This window comes from Homo sapiens, chromosome 6, assembly GCF_000001405.40.
Source record: "Homo sapiens chromosome 6, GRCh38.p14 Primary Assembly".
NCBI classification, from domain to species: domain Eukaryota; kingdom Metazoa; phylum Chordata; class Mammalia; order Primates; family Hominidae; genus Homo; species Homo sapiens.
Genome location: NC_000006.12, coordinates 49,809,986 through 49,825,189, shown reverse-complemented (window position 1 = coordinate 49,825,189; position 15,204 = coordinate 49,809,986). Strand labels below are relative to the sequence as shown.

At 35.5% G+C, this 15,204-nt stretch overlaps 2 long non-coding RNA genes across 2 annotated transcripts; one reads left to right on the top strand and one right to left on the bottom strand.

The window, feature by feature from the left end:
- Positions 1-423: 423 nt before the first annotated feature.
- LOC101927048 (uncharacterized) lies at positions 424-9,697 on the top strand. Its single transcript, NR_110843.1, has 5 exons — positions 424-580; positions 1,147-1,254; positions 1,360-1,478; positions 6,745-6,784; positions 8,384-9,697. It is a non-coding gene; the product is annotated as an uncharacterized LOC101927048 (long non-coding RNA).
- LOC101927020 (uncharacterized) lies at positions 4,687-13,650 on the bottom strand. Its single transcript, NR_125839.1, has 4 exons — positions 13,597-13,650; positions 7,699-7,799; positions 5,868-6,038; positions 4,687-4,862 (listed from the first exon to the last, which is right to left on the bottom strand). It is a non-coding gene; the product is annotated as an uncharacterized LOC101927020 (long non-coding RNA).
- Between the last annotated feature and the right edge of the window lie 1,554 nt (positions 13,651-15,204).

Below are 15,204 nucleotides of genomic sequence, written 5' to 3'. Positions count from 1 at the left end.
TATTTCCTAATATATTAAGAATGGAAGTGAAATTATTAAACCTGATAAAAGGAGCTGCTAAACAAATATAAAAAGTAATGTATATTATGTACAAAGAAGCCATTGTAACATGCCTGTCATGACTGCAATCATTCAAAGTATAAAATATAGCTGCAATTACTTAACAAAGTTGTTTAAAATACCCAGGAGTATTTTGAAAACTAGACATCCATCTAGGTCTTTTCTCTTATATGTGACTTATTTTTCCTTTCTGAAAACTTTAAACAATTTTCCTTCTTGCTGTGTTATTTAAATTCATTGTGATGTTTCTAGGTATGTGTCTTAAATCTTAGCTGTTTTGCATAATGCATGATCCTCTCTCTCTCTCTCTGTCTCTTTCTCTCTCTCTCTCTCCCTCTGTTTTTCAGAGGTGAGGGTCCTGCTGTGTTACCCAGGCCGGAGTGCAGTGACTACTTACAGGCACGATCATAGTGCACTAGAGCCTTGAACTCCCGGGCTCCAGTATTACTCCTGCCTCAGCCTCCTGAGTATCTGGGACTATAGGAGTGCACCACCATTCCTGGCATAATCCTCTTTTTATGTGAGATCTTATGTTACTTTTCATGATACATAATCATTTTCTCAAATACTTTGTCACATTTATTTATACTTTCTCTCTTTTTATGACTATCACTGGTGGATCTTGATAATTTCTTTTAGTTTTCACATATCTTGACTTTGTTATCATTCTCTCTCTTTGTCCCTTTTCGATGCATTCTGAAAGCATTGCACCTCCTTGCTTCAACTCACTCACTCTTTCTTTACCTATTTATATAACTGATGAACTATGCAACCTATCCTTTTGAGTTTTTATTTTAACTCTTTTTTATTTCATTTCCAATATCGCTAAGCAGTTATGTTTTATAGTAGCTTGATCACTATTTAGATTTCCATTATGTTTATTTCTTTGACAACCTTTGTGCTTTTTACAATTTGTATTGATTTTTTAAATAGTTCAGTTTCTTTTAGTATATGATTTTCCACTGTTATCTTCCTCTCATAAGATTAAATATTTTTGAATCAATATATTTCTTGGCTTTGTTGGCATATCTGAAGGCATCAGACAAGACTTCTCACTTTATTTATTTATTTTTTTTTCTGCTTTAGGTTGAGTTGAAGAAAGTCACAAGACGTGAGACGCTTTATGTTGCAGTTAATGGTCTCTTCCTCCCTTTTCTCTGTTCCTGCAAATGGACAATTATTCCTTCTCACAAGGTAACCTCTCTGCTGCTGTATTCATAATTTCTTCCTTCTCTGCTACAACTATTTTAATTGTCAAGGCATAGAGGCTGCCAGACTTAAATATATTTGTTGTTCTAGGTTTTTGGCTTCCCACTTCAGCATGCCTCCAGCAGTGTTCTAAAATTACTCTACAATTGCCAAAGTAAGAGCAGCAGATGCTCTAAATCTATTTCCAGGACACCCGTCTCATGATCAAGGTACAAGTTTCTTTTGCCATCTTTTATTTTTTTGATGTTTCCTTTTGTTTGACATTTTATTTTTTGGACTTCTTAGACCTAAATTCCAGACCTGGCCAGCACTTGTTTCATCAAAGTTCATTCCCCTCCCCACTGCTACCCCAGTTACATCCATCCTAATCTCAATCACTGGCTTGATCTCAACAGGAATGAGTGCAAGATAGATAGTTCAACAAAAATCCTGTACAGCAGCCTATCTTTTCCCCATGAACTTTGGACATCTCCTAATGAGGCTATTTACTTGTGCCCCTCAAGAAAACAAAATAATTAAACATACTTGGGCACATCAATTTTTATAATTGAAAAAAAGGCTGTATTAAAATTCAGGTCTAATTTCTGTCATCTCTAGGGGTAGAGGAAGTTGAGAAAATTAGTATGTCTTACTTAAATTTCCACCTTATAAGGAAATTAGTGATGTCTGGCCATTTTCTGGAATGCGTATATTCTTAAGGGATATTTCTATTAAGGTTATGAGAATCAATGATCCGTGTCCCTTTACACAGTTCTATCTAATCTCTATCTAACTCTCCTCAGTTCTATCTTCCTTAGTTCTATCTAACTTTCCTCAGTTCCCCTACTTAATGCTGGAACTAAAAACACATATTATATTTCCTTTTCTTTGCTAGAGCTAGACCCCATACAGACTACAAATCTCTCCTCCCCCGCCTGTATCCTGTATGGCAGTAAAAGATATCGCATGATGTATTACAGAGGGTACATTTTAAAGACATTAAACATTATTCAATCATGTGCAGTTATTTAATGAGAAAATCTATTTTACATTACGCAGATCTCTAGAGGATATAGCATAACTGTGATGAATAAAGAAAGGTGTGTTTTATGAAAATCGAATTTGTTTTAGTCACATTCTTCTATTTCCTTTTGGAAGGTATAAATTCTGCAGTGATCAAAATTCATAAAGGAAAATGAGGCTCCTGCGTGTGTGTATTAGAAGATAATTATGCAGGCATGTAGAAGTTGTATTCCAGTTTTTATTAACAAATTCATTACATTATTTAATGATTTAAAAAAATCTCCCTAAGACTAAAATTAAGAAAATCTTAGTAATGAAGTATCATTAGAAAATTAACTTTGTTATTGTGGATTTGAAATCTCTAGCTCCTCATCGTTATTTTAAAATTCTATTGAAGGATCATTTTTGAAGCACTTTATGAAAAACAAAAAAATTTAGAACATAATTTTTTGTTATGCAAGGTAATTGCAGCTACAATTTGGATTCTAAGAGAATATGAAACACAAGTGAATCTCAGCAACATATCAGTCCTCTTCTAGGATTAGTTTGAGATAGAGATGATTTGCCTTGTTTATTTTGTAACGATTCTTATTTACTTCAATTTAATAAAATTAAAATTTCCATGTAGGACCTCACATCATGGGTTTGTCCTATTCTGTGCTTACCTGAAATAATAACTAATAACAGAGATAAGGAGGTATTCAGTATGCATAATACCTACAGAAAATATGTCCTTGTGATTTGAGTGGTTTAGCCATTTTACTTTGTCCCTATGATATCTAATGCACTTTGCATTCACTTAGGAAACAACAAATGTCCATATTGGAGAAATGAAAATTCAATAAAACTAAATTATCTTAATATTTATGTAATAGTAATATGTTAGAGAAGAGAATAGCTAGATAGATGTAGAAACCAATATAATAATAGATAAAGAGGTATGTTAAAATGTATGCATTACTTATCTTTCCACAAAGTGATAGAATAAGAATCTCTTAATTTAAAAAAAAAGTTGTTCTGCATTGCACTGTAGAGTGCAATGCACTGTAGAGTTCTATTTACTCTGCAGAGTAAATAGAATTGCACTGACACTTTTTTACCTTTAAGAACAATCCTAAAAGTTCATGGAAATTTTTTACAATACAAACTTTGTAGTTCATGGGTTGTTTCAAAATGAAGACCATTACTTCATAAAATGTGTATGTTAATATCAAATGAGTGAATAATTCATCATTTTGTTCATGAAACAGGTGATTAAATTCGCTTATAGAAATATAAATGATTGCGTATCTTTGCATCTTGTCTCTGCACAAGCCTAGTAAAATGTATATTTTACGTATATTTTCAAGAGAAAGGTGAATTGAATTTGATTAAATTCTCAACATCTTATTAATAGAATAAATAATAGATTATTGGTTGTCTCATATTTCAAAGTTGATTTCAAAATGCACTCTCTTGACTTTAACAGTCTGTATTGATATCTTCTTACCTTTAGTTTAATCATCACTCTAGGGAAGTTGGCCTAAGCTAGCAGCCATCAAAGGATTGCCAGAAAATCAGTCAGAGGACATCTTCACCCACAAAACCTGCGAAAACTGCCCAAGAGCAACAGCAGGATATAGGAGGATATAAAATTATCTCTACAGTAAACATAGGCAAAAACTTGCTTCAATAAAACACACATTTCAGGTTGACCTAGATGTGGGGTCATATGGTGTCATCAAGATTCATACTTGTGAAAGACAAGCTGGGTAAAATTAGTGAAAATAGCAGGGAAGTCTCCTCAACCTCCATAGGCTGGTTAGAATTTTGTCCCATACAAACATTTATCGGTCACAAAACTTGCTTCTAATGATGTAAATATCCTGCAATTTACCATCTATTAACTTATATTTTCAATATTACAATGAGAAATCAAATTTTCTTTTTCTTGAGTTTTTTTAAATTTTTATTTTTATTTTAAGTTCTGGGGTACATGTGCAGGATGTGCAGGCTTGTTACATAGGTAACCATGTGCCATGGTGGTTTGCTGCACCTATCAACCCATCACCTACGCATTGAGCCCAGCATGAGTTAGCTACTTTTCCTAATGCTCTCTCTCCCCCACCCCACCCTCCAACAGGCCCCAATGTGTGTTGTTCCTCTCCCTGTGTCCATGTGTTCTCATTGTTTACCTCCCACTTATAAGTGAGGACATGGGGTGTTTGGTTTTCTGTTCCTATGTTATTTTGCTGAGGACAATGCCTTCCAGCTCCATCCATGTCCCTACAAAAAATGTGATCTTGTTCCTTTTTATGGGTGCATGGTATTCCATGGTGTATATGTACCACATATTGTTTGTCTTTGATGGGCATTTGGGTTGACTCTATGTCTTTACTATTGTGAATAATGCTGCAATGAACATACGCACGCATGTATCTTTGTAATAGAATGGTTTATATTCCTTTGGGTGTATACACAGTAATGGGATTTCTGGATCAAATGATATTTCTGCTTCTAGGTCTTTGAGGAATCACTACACCATCTTCCACAATGGTTGAATTAATTTACATTCCAAGTTTTCAATGCATTGGCAGATGAAGCATGGTAACCTAGGAATGACAATCAATATATTAAAGTATTTCATTAATAGAAGATGCCATTAATTGTAAAACACACAATTATTCTGTAAATCACCTTGAAAGAAATAGAATACTGTGGAGGCTGAACTACATGTTAAATAAATCAGCCTAAGAAAAATGTCAGCTGATTGCATGAGCCTTCATCCTCCTTTGTCTCCCTTTATCTGGATCACTCTAAAAATTTAGCTGAAACTTGATGATTTAAACCTTTTCAAAAAAAATCATTGCTTCTAAAAATGGAACAGACTAAGTAAACTAATCTGTCTCCTGCTTCTGAGGTTAGACGTAATGAGCACCAACTCTGTGCCCTCTCATCAATTTGTTTTTAAAAACCATATATAAGGAATTTATGCAAAATATACATGTTTATAACTTAAATAAGGTATAGCTATGGAAAACTATATACCTGCACATACATTTACAGTATATTTACTACTATGGATTCTAAAATTGTTAAAAGCAATCTCAACTGGTGCCTTGTTATGCAGCATTTTTAGGTTTTATCTATTGTTTATTTGCAGTTACATTATTTACCATTTAAATATTTAATAAATGTAGTGAACAATTTTACCACTTAAATAACAAACATTGAATCACCAGCTGTACAAGAATAAATTGTTAACGCATATAACACCCTCAGGAGAGGCGTCATTTCACCAGCCAGCAACATGCTGCAGATGGTAAGACCTAAAAAACAGCAACATCAATATTGGCAATAATAGTAATAATGTCTACTGAGTTTTTGTAAAGTTCCACGCACTTGCAATATACTAAAAGTTGGATCTTCACAACAAACGTATGATACAGAAAAAGAAATAGAAGCTCAGAGGAGATAAGCAACTTTCTCACCATCATACAGTTAGTCAATGACAGAGCTCCGCCAGTCTAGCTTCATGCTTATGTACCCTAAGATAGTGCTTCTCAAACTTCATTGTCTTTAAGAATCTTCTGAAGAACTTAGTAAAGCACACTTACCTGGGCCACCTTCTCTGATATTCCGATTTAGGAGGTCTGACATGGAGGCCACCATAATCTCCCAACTGATGCTGATGCTGCTAGCACATATGGCAAATACTGATTAGCAAGTTATCCATGCATTTCATAGCTTTCCTCATTGAGCAGTAATCCAGAGGCTAAGACGCTCATCTGAGATTTAAGATATCCAGATATTTAGCCTGTTGATGTTGTCAGATAAACAAATGTAGGTAAATTTACTCTCTAGTTTCATTGCATTTCATAAGAGCTTAGAGAAAATGTCTTTCCACTCTAAACCTATGTTCTTCCACAAGACCAATTTAGGAAAGTATCAGGCGCATGAGGTAATTAGCCTCACATTCATTGGCCAGCAGTATCACTCAGGTTTATGAGCACCTTCAGCCTGCTTCTTGAACCCTGGACTGGCCTAAAGAACAAGAGTTAGAAATAGTGCAGGCCCTGGAGGGTGATTCTAATGAACAACTTCTTCACACAAATCACATAAAGAAGGAAACAAAAGAATAAAAAAGAATTTCAAAATTTTAATCTTGGTCATCTTAGAATTCAAAATGTCATTTGAACAAAACAATACAAATCAATAGCTATCATAAGCACTCCCCTGTTGGAAGGGTTTTAACTAACACGCATATGGTGCTTATTATTGACAGGCAATTTTCTAGTACCTTCTTACAATGACTCATTTAATTCTTCCAATAATCCTGTAAGGTAGATAATACTACCATCTCCATTTTACAGATAATGACACTAACATTCAGAAAAATTAAGCACCTTATCCAGTTATAAGCATTGGAGCCCATATTCCAATGGAAGTGGGCCAGCTACAGGTATTCTGCTCTTAACCACTTTTCTTCCTTAGGACAAATGGGGTCCAAACTCCTTGGCTGCCAGATGAGCAAGTAAGTGTGCCTAGTTAGTACTAACAAGATTGAAGAATCAATAAAAAATGTAGCCTTACATGAGCTCATTTAAAAATAAGTTTTCTCATTTTTTTTATTTAAAAATAAGGTTTTAGAAACCTTATTCCTGGGGAGTTAAGATGAGTACAAAGGAGACATTAGAAAGTATTATAAGCCTGAAATGTACGTCTACCAACTCTCCAAGTGGGCTTGCCCAGCAAAGGGATTATGGCAACTTTCAGAAAGGGCAGACTGTAGAGCTGCTTCTGGGCAGGACTCCCAGCTGCTGGGCGAATATGCCCTTCAGAATGATGATGCACTGCATCCATAACAAGCAGTCAGTTGGGATTTAACTAGGTAAGTTCCTGTTCTAAGTATATGGTAACCTGGTCGTAATAGGAAAGTTATCTTTATTAACAAGTGCGACAATATTCCCTACCCTGGGAGAAGTGAATATGGTGTTGTATCTCTGTTCCTTAGACATAGGCTGTAACAAATGTGTCTTTTCTTGCATGAAGAAATTAAAACCTGACAAGCATGTCTTTACACAGTGTCAGGCTAATGAATTATTTCATTCATCCTGTAGTTTAGTTAATTCATTAACATGAAATGTCCTAGAAAGTTATCATCAGATGGCAGCACACACATATCATAATTAAGACTTCTTCCACTAAAAGAGAAAATACTGAAATTCTAAGTTAGGTTGTCATTCTAAAATTATTCTAATGTGTAGCTAAATAACTTACATAAAAGCCTATTGAAAAAACAATGTTCACACTTTTTTTTGGCAATGTTTTGCATGTGAATATAGTGGCAGTCCTTTAAATCGATGTAGAGAATGAGAGGATGAAACAATCTTAGGGAAATTATTTATCCAATACCTAGTGATAAAGAGGTTCTACTTTTCACCTTACTTGTAGAACAACTGCTGCTGACAAGTACCCAAGAGCATATCTGTGCCTCAGTTTCCTAATTTGTAAACGGAGATAACAATAGTACTTCCATTTTGGAGTTGCTGTGAGGAAAAAGTAAGAAAAAATATTTGCAGACTTAAAAACAGATTCTAGTGTGTTGTGTTACCTATTAATTTTTATTATTCACAATTTTAAATATAGATGCCCAATACTATACTGCTTTCCAATCATAGTTATCATTTATTAATTCAGGACATAGTTCAGGATTTGCCATATAATAATTATATGGCATTGATTATCACATTAAGCCTTTGGAACAAATGTTTTAATATGAACTATGAGTCAAAGAAACTGAGATATCGAGATAAAATAATGTGTCAGAGGTAAAACTACAAATAAATAATGTGATGGATTTCTATCTTGGTAGATCTACTGAAAGCATTTCCTTAAGTCTTTACTACATCAGAAAGAGAGGCTAATCTGATTGTTATTATCAAATTTTGAATTTGTGAATTTAACGAACTATGTTTTATTTTTTCTACCATAAATAAAAGAGTAATTTCATTATTTAAATTTTTAGCTTATAAGTTGAGGATATTGCTAGATGTGGTTTTAAAAAATAACCTAGACTTATCATGGAAATTTTAATAAGATCATGAGTTTGATATTTACTCTTCCTCTATAGAACTGGAGTAAAGATGCTGCGCAAAAGGCCAAAATGATGTCAAAGCAGTGTAAACTGATACAGATCAAAGAACAGGAGTGGAAAATTGCAAGCAGGGATATGTAGCGGCTCTGTATGGCCCAATGTGCTCAAAACTCTCCAGAGGTTGTTAATTTCCTGGCAAGATGAGGTTACATCATACAGTCTGTATTTGCATATGTACCCATACTTGACAGTGAAATATGGTCTAATACACAGGTTTTATTATTATTATTATTTAATTTGAATATTCACATTTATAGGTTCCAAATTCAGGTCACCAAGGATAAGGGAATCAAAGCTCTAAAAATTATAGAATATTTGAGCAATGCAATAATGACTGGACAGGCAGCTAGATGCTTAGATGGTTTCCACTCAATGCAGTTGTCTCAGCTACCCACAATATATTACCGCTAGGATTTCTTTAGCTTTAGGAATTGTCGATAGGCAATTCTTCTGATCTGCCCATAAGAACATTTTTAAGGGGTCAAAGGTGAGCCCATCTCATGGCAATACGATAACCATGTAAATTAGGTTCACTGCTAGTTTTCAGAAAAGCCATTAGTACTTTCTACACAAGTGGATATTAAAAATATCTACAAGAATATTTTATTATAAAATAATAAAAAGTACTAATGGGACTTCTATATCTATAGATTATTGGTAATCTTTGAGCAATATCATTGACAAATTAATTTTCAGTAGCAAAACTGAATAAAACTAAGCTCTTTTAGCTATTCTCCAAAACTCTTATGACAAAAGGATTCCACCATATTGTACGCTTTAGCATTTGTAACTCGTCAAGAATTGTTTTTATTTCTCAAGTGTACTACTTGTATATAGACACATATATGACCTTATTTTATCACACATCCACCTTAAAAATACATAGCAAGTAAAAGTAGCTCTTAAAGAAAGTAGCTCTTAAAAGTAGCTCTTTAGAAAGCAACATTGGGTGCAGGAACTAAGAGGACTGGCTGGTGCTTTTCATCAGTAGTAGGTGGTGGTGGCTAAGGTTTCCACTGTGGGCACAGCCCAACACAGCCCTATCAAACTGACTCTGCAGATCACCAAATGGCTAACATTACACTGAAAAGTGTAGGGAAAATATTGATTTGTTTATTTTCTATGAATTGAGCTAACTTTCCTCACTAGTCTTGTTGTTAAATAGTGGAGAAAAAAAATTTGAAAAAAAAATAAAATAAATTTGAATTCAATGGAGCAAATTTGGTCTAATGCAGTACAATACTTTTTAAAATCTGTCTTTGCAAATTAAAATAAAATACTGTTATCTTGGATTTTCTCTACCTCTTGTTTACTCTTGAGCACCCTTAGCAATTTTGTGTGCCATTTCTACGGTATCTGAAAAGTTATTAACCCAAGCCATATTAAAGGACATGGGCTCTAGCAGTTTGATTTATTTCTTTACCAAGGACACATTGTAAAACATTAACTCAAGTCTTCCCTCAAAGTTTTCTTACTCTTTCTTATTCTCTGAGGAAAGTATACAAATACCGCCAATTTTCTAGCTGCTTCCATATCTATCTAGATATTTCTAAAGCTCACTACCCCATTGAGGATGGAAACTACCAGAGATAGGGATGAACAGGTAGGGCAGGAAATAATAGTTCTTTTTTTTTAACTTTCTTTCTCTTTCTTGTCTTCTCCTCACAATCCCTTGTGACAGAATGTCAGGCTTTTGAATTACTTAAATTCATATTCTCTTAAAATGGGGCAGAAATCTGAATGGCCTTTTGAAGACTTATGTTGCCTATCACAGAGAAGCAACACTATAAGCTGAGTTGGCTACTGTTGGTGGTTGTTGTAAAGACAAGAAATGAATACACTGTCATGTGTTTTCCTTAGCCGTATTAATTTCCTTGGTGTAGGTAGCAGGGTGTTTTTCAGAGAAGGAACTCAGATATTGTGTAGAGAAAGGCAAGTCTATCATTAGGTAGACCTCCTGGATTTAGTTTTCACATACCTTGGGACACTCTGAACTGGAAGACATGGCCACTCTACCAAAAAGTGCCTGAGATGTGGGAGGAGGTGGAGGTGGAGTGGTGGATGAGTATTTGACTGAAAAACTGTGGCCCTGGGAAACAATGTGGGACTGGGTTCAATAAGTTGACAATTTGCATCTTCCCTGGCCCACAGAAAGGAAGATCATTCCTAAATACCATGCTGGATGAAAAGCCCACACCATAGGTGGATGGTTAAATAGAACAGATGCTTATTTCATGGTCCTTACATAATGAATAGAATGGCTTCAGAGTAGCCATGGACCCTGTTACAATACTTAAGCTTCTCTGATTTGGTTTCACTCATCTCCATTAGCTTGAAAGAGACAGAGACTGAAAGGTTGGTTGATCTGATTTCAACGCTTGTTTATCATCTCCTGCTATCAACTTATCACTGAACCTGGGCACCACATACTTATTTATCAATGAGAAAGAAAGAAGATTGCCAACAGGGATATAACTGAGTTTACCCCCTCTAGATGTTGCCTAGATGATCAGTGAAGCATTTGTAAAATAAAAATGAGAAAAATATTCTTGTAGGGTACGGCCCAGCCCTATTTCCTTTTTTCAGATAGTAAATGTCAAGGAAATATACAATTGTCATCTTATCCTGTCTCATGATCAAATGTAATTGAAGGCTGGTACAATGAGTCTAAAAATTTTCAGAGGAGGGAATGGACATTCTTGGATAAAGATATAGCAGCTAACCCTTATAAAAAGGTAAGCCTGTGTGATGGCAAATACCTGTATTTTTAAGTGACTGTAAGCATGTGTGACCAGAAAAATGAGAAAAACTGTAATCATTCTACTGGCTTATTACAAACTTACACTTGACCTACTGAGTTCCCCTTATAATTCAGATCCCAAGGAAGTGTAATTTCCTTAATATATGACTTATAGAAGATGCTTAACCTCTAAAAAAGATTCTCTTTTACCAAACTCTAGCCTGTCTCAGAGGAGCCTATTTCTTGAATATACCTGCCAATTTTGGCCTATAAACACTTGAACAAACACTTCGATCATTTCAAACAGTTCAAGGCTGCATACATAGGATGATATTAGCCTTTCTTAAAGTGCCTTCCTGAAAAAACTCAAGATCATCAAAAGTTTGTTTCAGCCAACACCTGACGATTAGGGCCCCTGTCTCAGTGTCTGTGGGAAAAGAGCAGCCTAATTCCCACAAGTGCCAGTTAGTGCCAGTTAGCAAACCCAGGTGTGTTTCCCGTGGACAAACTCCTCACTTTTAAATTTTTTTTTCTTTCCTTGGCACTATTGAGCTTCCACTCACCCTCTCCCTATTTCCTCATCCTCCCTTTAAAATGCCCAGTCATTCTGTATGAATCTAAGTTGACTTAAGTTCACATTGGATTTTTTTCCCTACTGCAATAGTTATTACCAACTAAAGTATTTTTCTCAACAATTTACCTAATGTTTGGCTGTGTTTATCATTGACACCCCTTAGTTCCATTTTTATTCATTTGGTTTCTCAAGAAGCCACAAAATCAATCTCATTTTTAAGTTACATTTGTAATGTATGTAAATAATAAAAACAACAGCTTCTGCCTCTTTTCCAATAGAGGAATTCCCATAAAATTTACCATTTTATCATTTTTTAGTTATGTAGCATTAGTGATCAGGAACATAAAGTACATTGATACTATTTTGCAACCATCTCACTATCTACAGAGCTTTTTCATCTTCCTAAACTGGAACTATGCACATTAAACAATAACTGCTCATTTTCCCTTTCCTAAGCTCCTGGAGACCTTTTTGTTTCTATCAATTTGTTTTTTTTTTCTATTTCACTTTTTGTTTTTAACAATTTGACTACTCTAGGTACCTCATATAAGTGTACTCATATAGTGCTTGTCCTTTTGTAACTGACTTATTTCCCTCAGCATAATATCTTCAATCCGTGTTCATCCATGTTTTAATGTGTTGGAAAGTCATTTATTCTGAAGGCTGAATAATATTCCATTGTGTGTATATAGCACGTTTGGTTTATACATTCAGCTGTCAATGAACGTTTGGGTTGTTTTCACCTTTGGCTATCGCAAATTATGCTGCTATGAACATAAGGGTATAAATACAAGCATACCTTGTTTTACTGCACTTCACTTTATTGTGTTATACAGATACTGCTTTTTTTTTTTTAACAAATTAAAGATTTTGGTAGTCCTGCATCAAATAAGTCTCTTAGGACCATTTCCAAACAGTATGTGCTCCCTTCACATCTCTGTGCCACATTCTCACAACACTGTAATTCTCAAAATATTTTCAACTGTTTCATTATTATTGTACTTGTTACAGTGACCAGTGATCCCTGATGTCACTATTGTAATAGTTTTGAGGTGCCATGGACCACACCCATATAAGATGCAAACTTAATTAATATATGTTATGTGTGTTGTGACTGCTCCAACAATAGGCAGTTCCCATATATCTTCTTCTCCTTGGACCTCCCTATTTCCACAGAACAATATTGAAATTAGGCCAAGTCACAACACTACAATATTCTCTAAGTATTCAAACACAAGGAAGAGTTACAAGTCTCTCACTTTATATCAAAAGGCTAAAATGAGTAAGCTTAGTGAGGAAGGCAGGTTGACAGCTGAGATAGGTCAAAAGTTAGGCCTCTTGTGCCAGTTAGCAAGTTGTGAATGCAAACGAAAAGTTCTTGAAGGAAATTAAAAGTGCTACTCTAATGAACACATGAATAATAAAAAAGCAAAACAGCCTTATAGCTAATATGGAAAAAGTTTTAGTAGTCTGCATAGATCAAACCAGCCACATTTCCTTAAGCAAAGCCTAATCCAGAGCACGGCCCTAACCCTCTTCGATTTTATGAAGGCTGAGAGAGAGGAGGAAGTTGCAGAAGAAAAGTTTGAAGGTAGCAGAAGTTGCTCCAGGAGGTTTAAGGAAAGAAGCCATCTTCATAAAACAAAAGTACAAAGTGAAAGAGCAAATGTTGATGGAGAAGCTGCAGCAAGTTATCCAGATCTAAGATAATTAATGCTGGCAGGCCGTGGTGGCTCACACCTATAATCCCAGCACTTTTGGAAGCTGGGGTGGGCAGACTGCTTGAGGCAAGGAGTTCAAGATCAGCCTGGACAACATGGCAAAGCCCCATCTCTACTGAAAATACAAAAATTATCCAGGTGTGGTGGTACACACCTGTAATCTCAGCTTCTTAGGAGGCTGAGACACAAGAATTGCCTGAATCCGGGAGGCAGAAGTTGCAGTGAGCCGAGATTTCAACGTTGCACTCCAGCCTGAGTGACAGCACAAGAATCTGTCTCAAAAAAAGAAAAAAAAAAAGATAATTAATACAGGGGGCTACACTAATCAACAGATTTTTCTTTCATTTTATTTTATTTTAGATTCGGAGGGTACATGTGCAGGTTTCTTACATGGTTATATTGCATGATATTGAGTTTTGAGCTTCTAATGATCCCATCGCCCAAGTAGTGAGAATAACATCTGATAGGCAGTTGTTCAACCATGCCCTCTCCCACCTTCCCTTTTCTGGGATCCCCAGTGTTTATTGTTCCCACCTTTGAGTTTGTGTGTATCCAATTGAACAACAGATTTTCAATATACACAACACAACTTTGTATTGGAAGAATATGCCATCTAGGAATTTCATAGCTACAGAGGAGAAGTCAATGTCTGGCTTCAAAGCCTCGGAGAACAAGCTGACTCCTTTGTTAGGGGCTCATACACATAGTGACTTTAAGTTTCAACTTCAGTCATTGCTCATTGACCATTCCAAAAATCCTAAGGCCCTTAAAAATTATAATAAATCTAATCTGCCTGTATCATATAAATGAAATAACAAAGCCTGGATGGCAGAACATTTTTTTTCTTCAACTTTTATTTTAAGTTCCAGGGTACATGTGCAGGATGTGCAGGTTTGTAACATAGGTAAACATGTGCCATGGTAGTTTGCTGCATAGATGAACCCATCACCTAGGTATTAAGGCCAGTATCTATTAGCTATTCTTCTTGATGCTCTCACTCCTCTCACCGCCCCCAACAAGACCTCAGTGTGTGTTGCTCCCCTTCATGTGTCCATGTGTTCTCATCATTCAGGTCCCACTTATAAGTGAGAATATGTGGTGTTTGGTTTTCTGTTCATGCATTAGTTTGCTGAGGATAACAGCTTCCAGCTCCATCCATGTCTCTGCAAAAGACATGATCTCATTCCTTTTGTGGCTGCATAGTATTCCATGCTATATATGTACCACATTTTCTTTCTCCAAGCTATCATCGATGGGCATTTGGGTTGATTCCATGTCTTTGCTATTGTGAATAGTGCTGTAAGAAACATATGTGTGCAAGTATCTTTATGACAGAATGACATATATTCCTTTGGGTATATACCAAGTAGTGGGATTGCTGGGACAAATGGTAATTCTGCTTCTAAATCACTGAGGAATTGCCACACTGTCTTACACAATGGTTTCACTAATTTACACTCCCACCAACAGTGTAAAAGCATTCCTTTTTCTCTGCAATCTCACCAGCATCTGTTGTTTCTTCACTTTTTAATAATCACCATTCTGACTGGTGTGACATGGTATTTCATTGTGGTTTGAATTTGCATTTCTCTAAGGATGATTGATGTTGGGCTTTTCTTATATATGTTTGTTGGCCACATGAATATCTTCTTTTGAGAAGTATCTGTTCATGTCCTTTGCTCACTATTTAATGGGGTTGTTTGTCTTTTTCTTTTGCATTTGTCTAACTTCCTTGTAGACTCTGAATATTAGACGTTTGTTA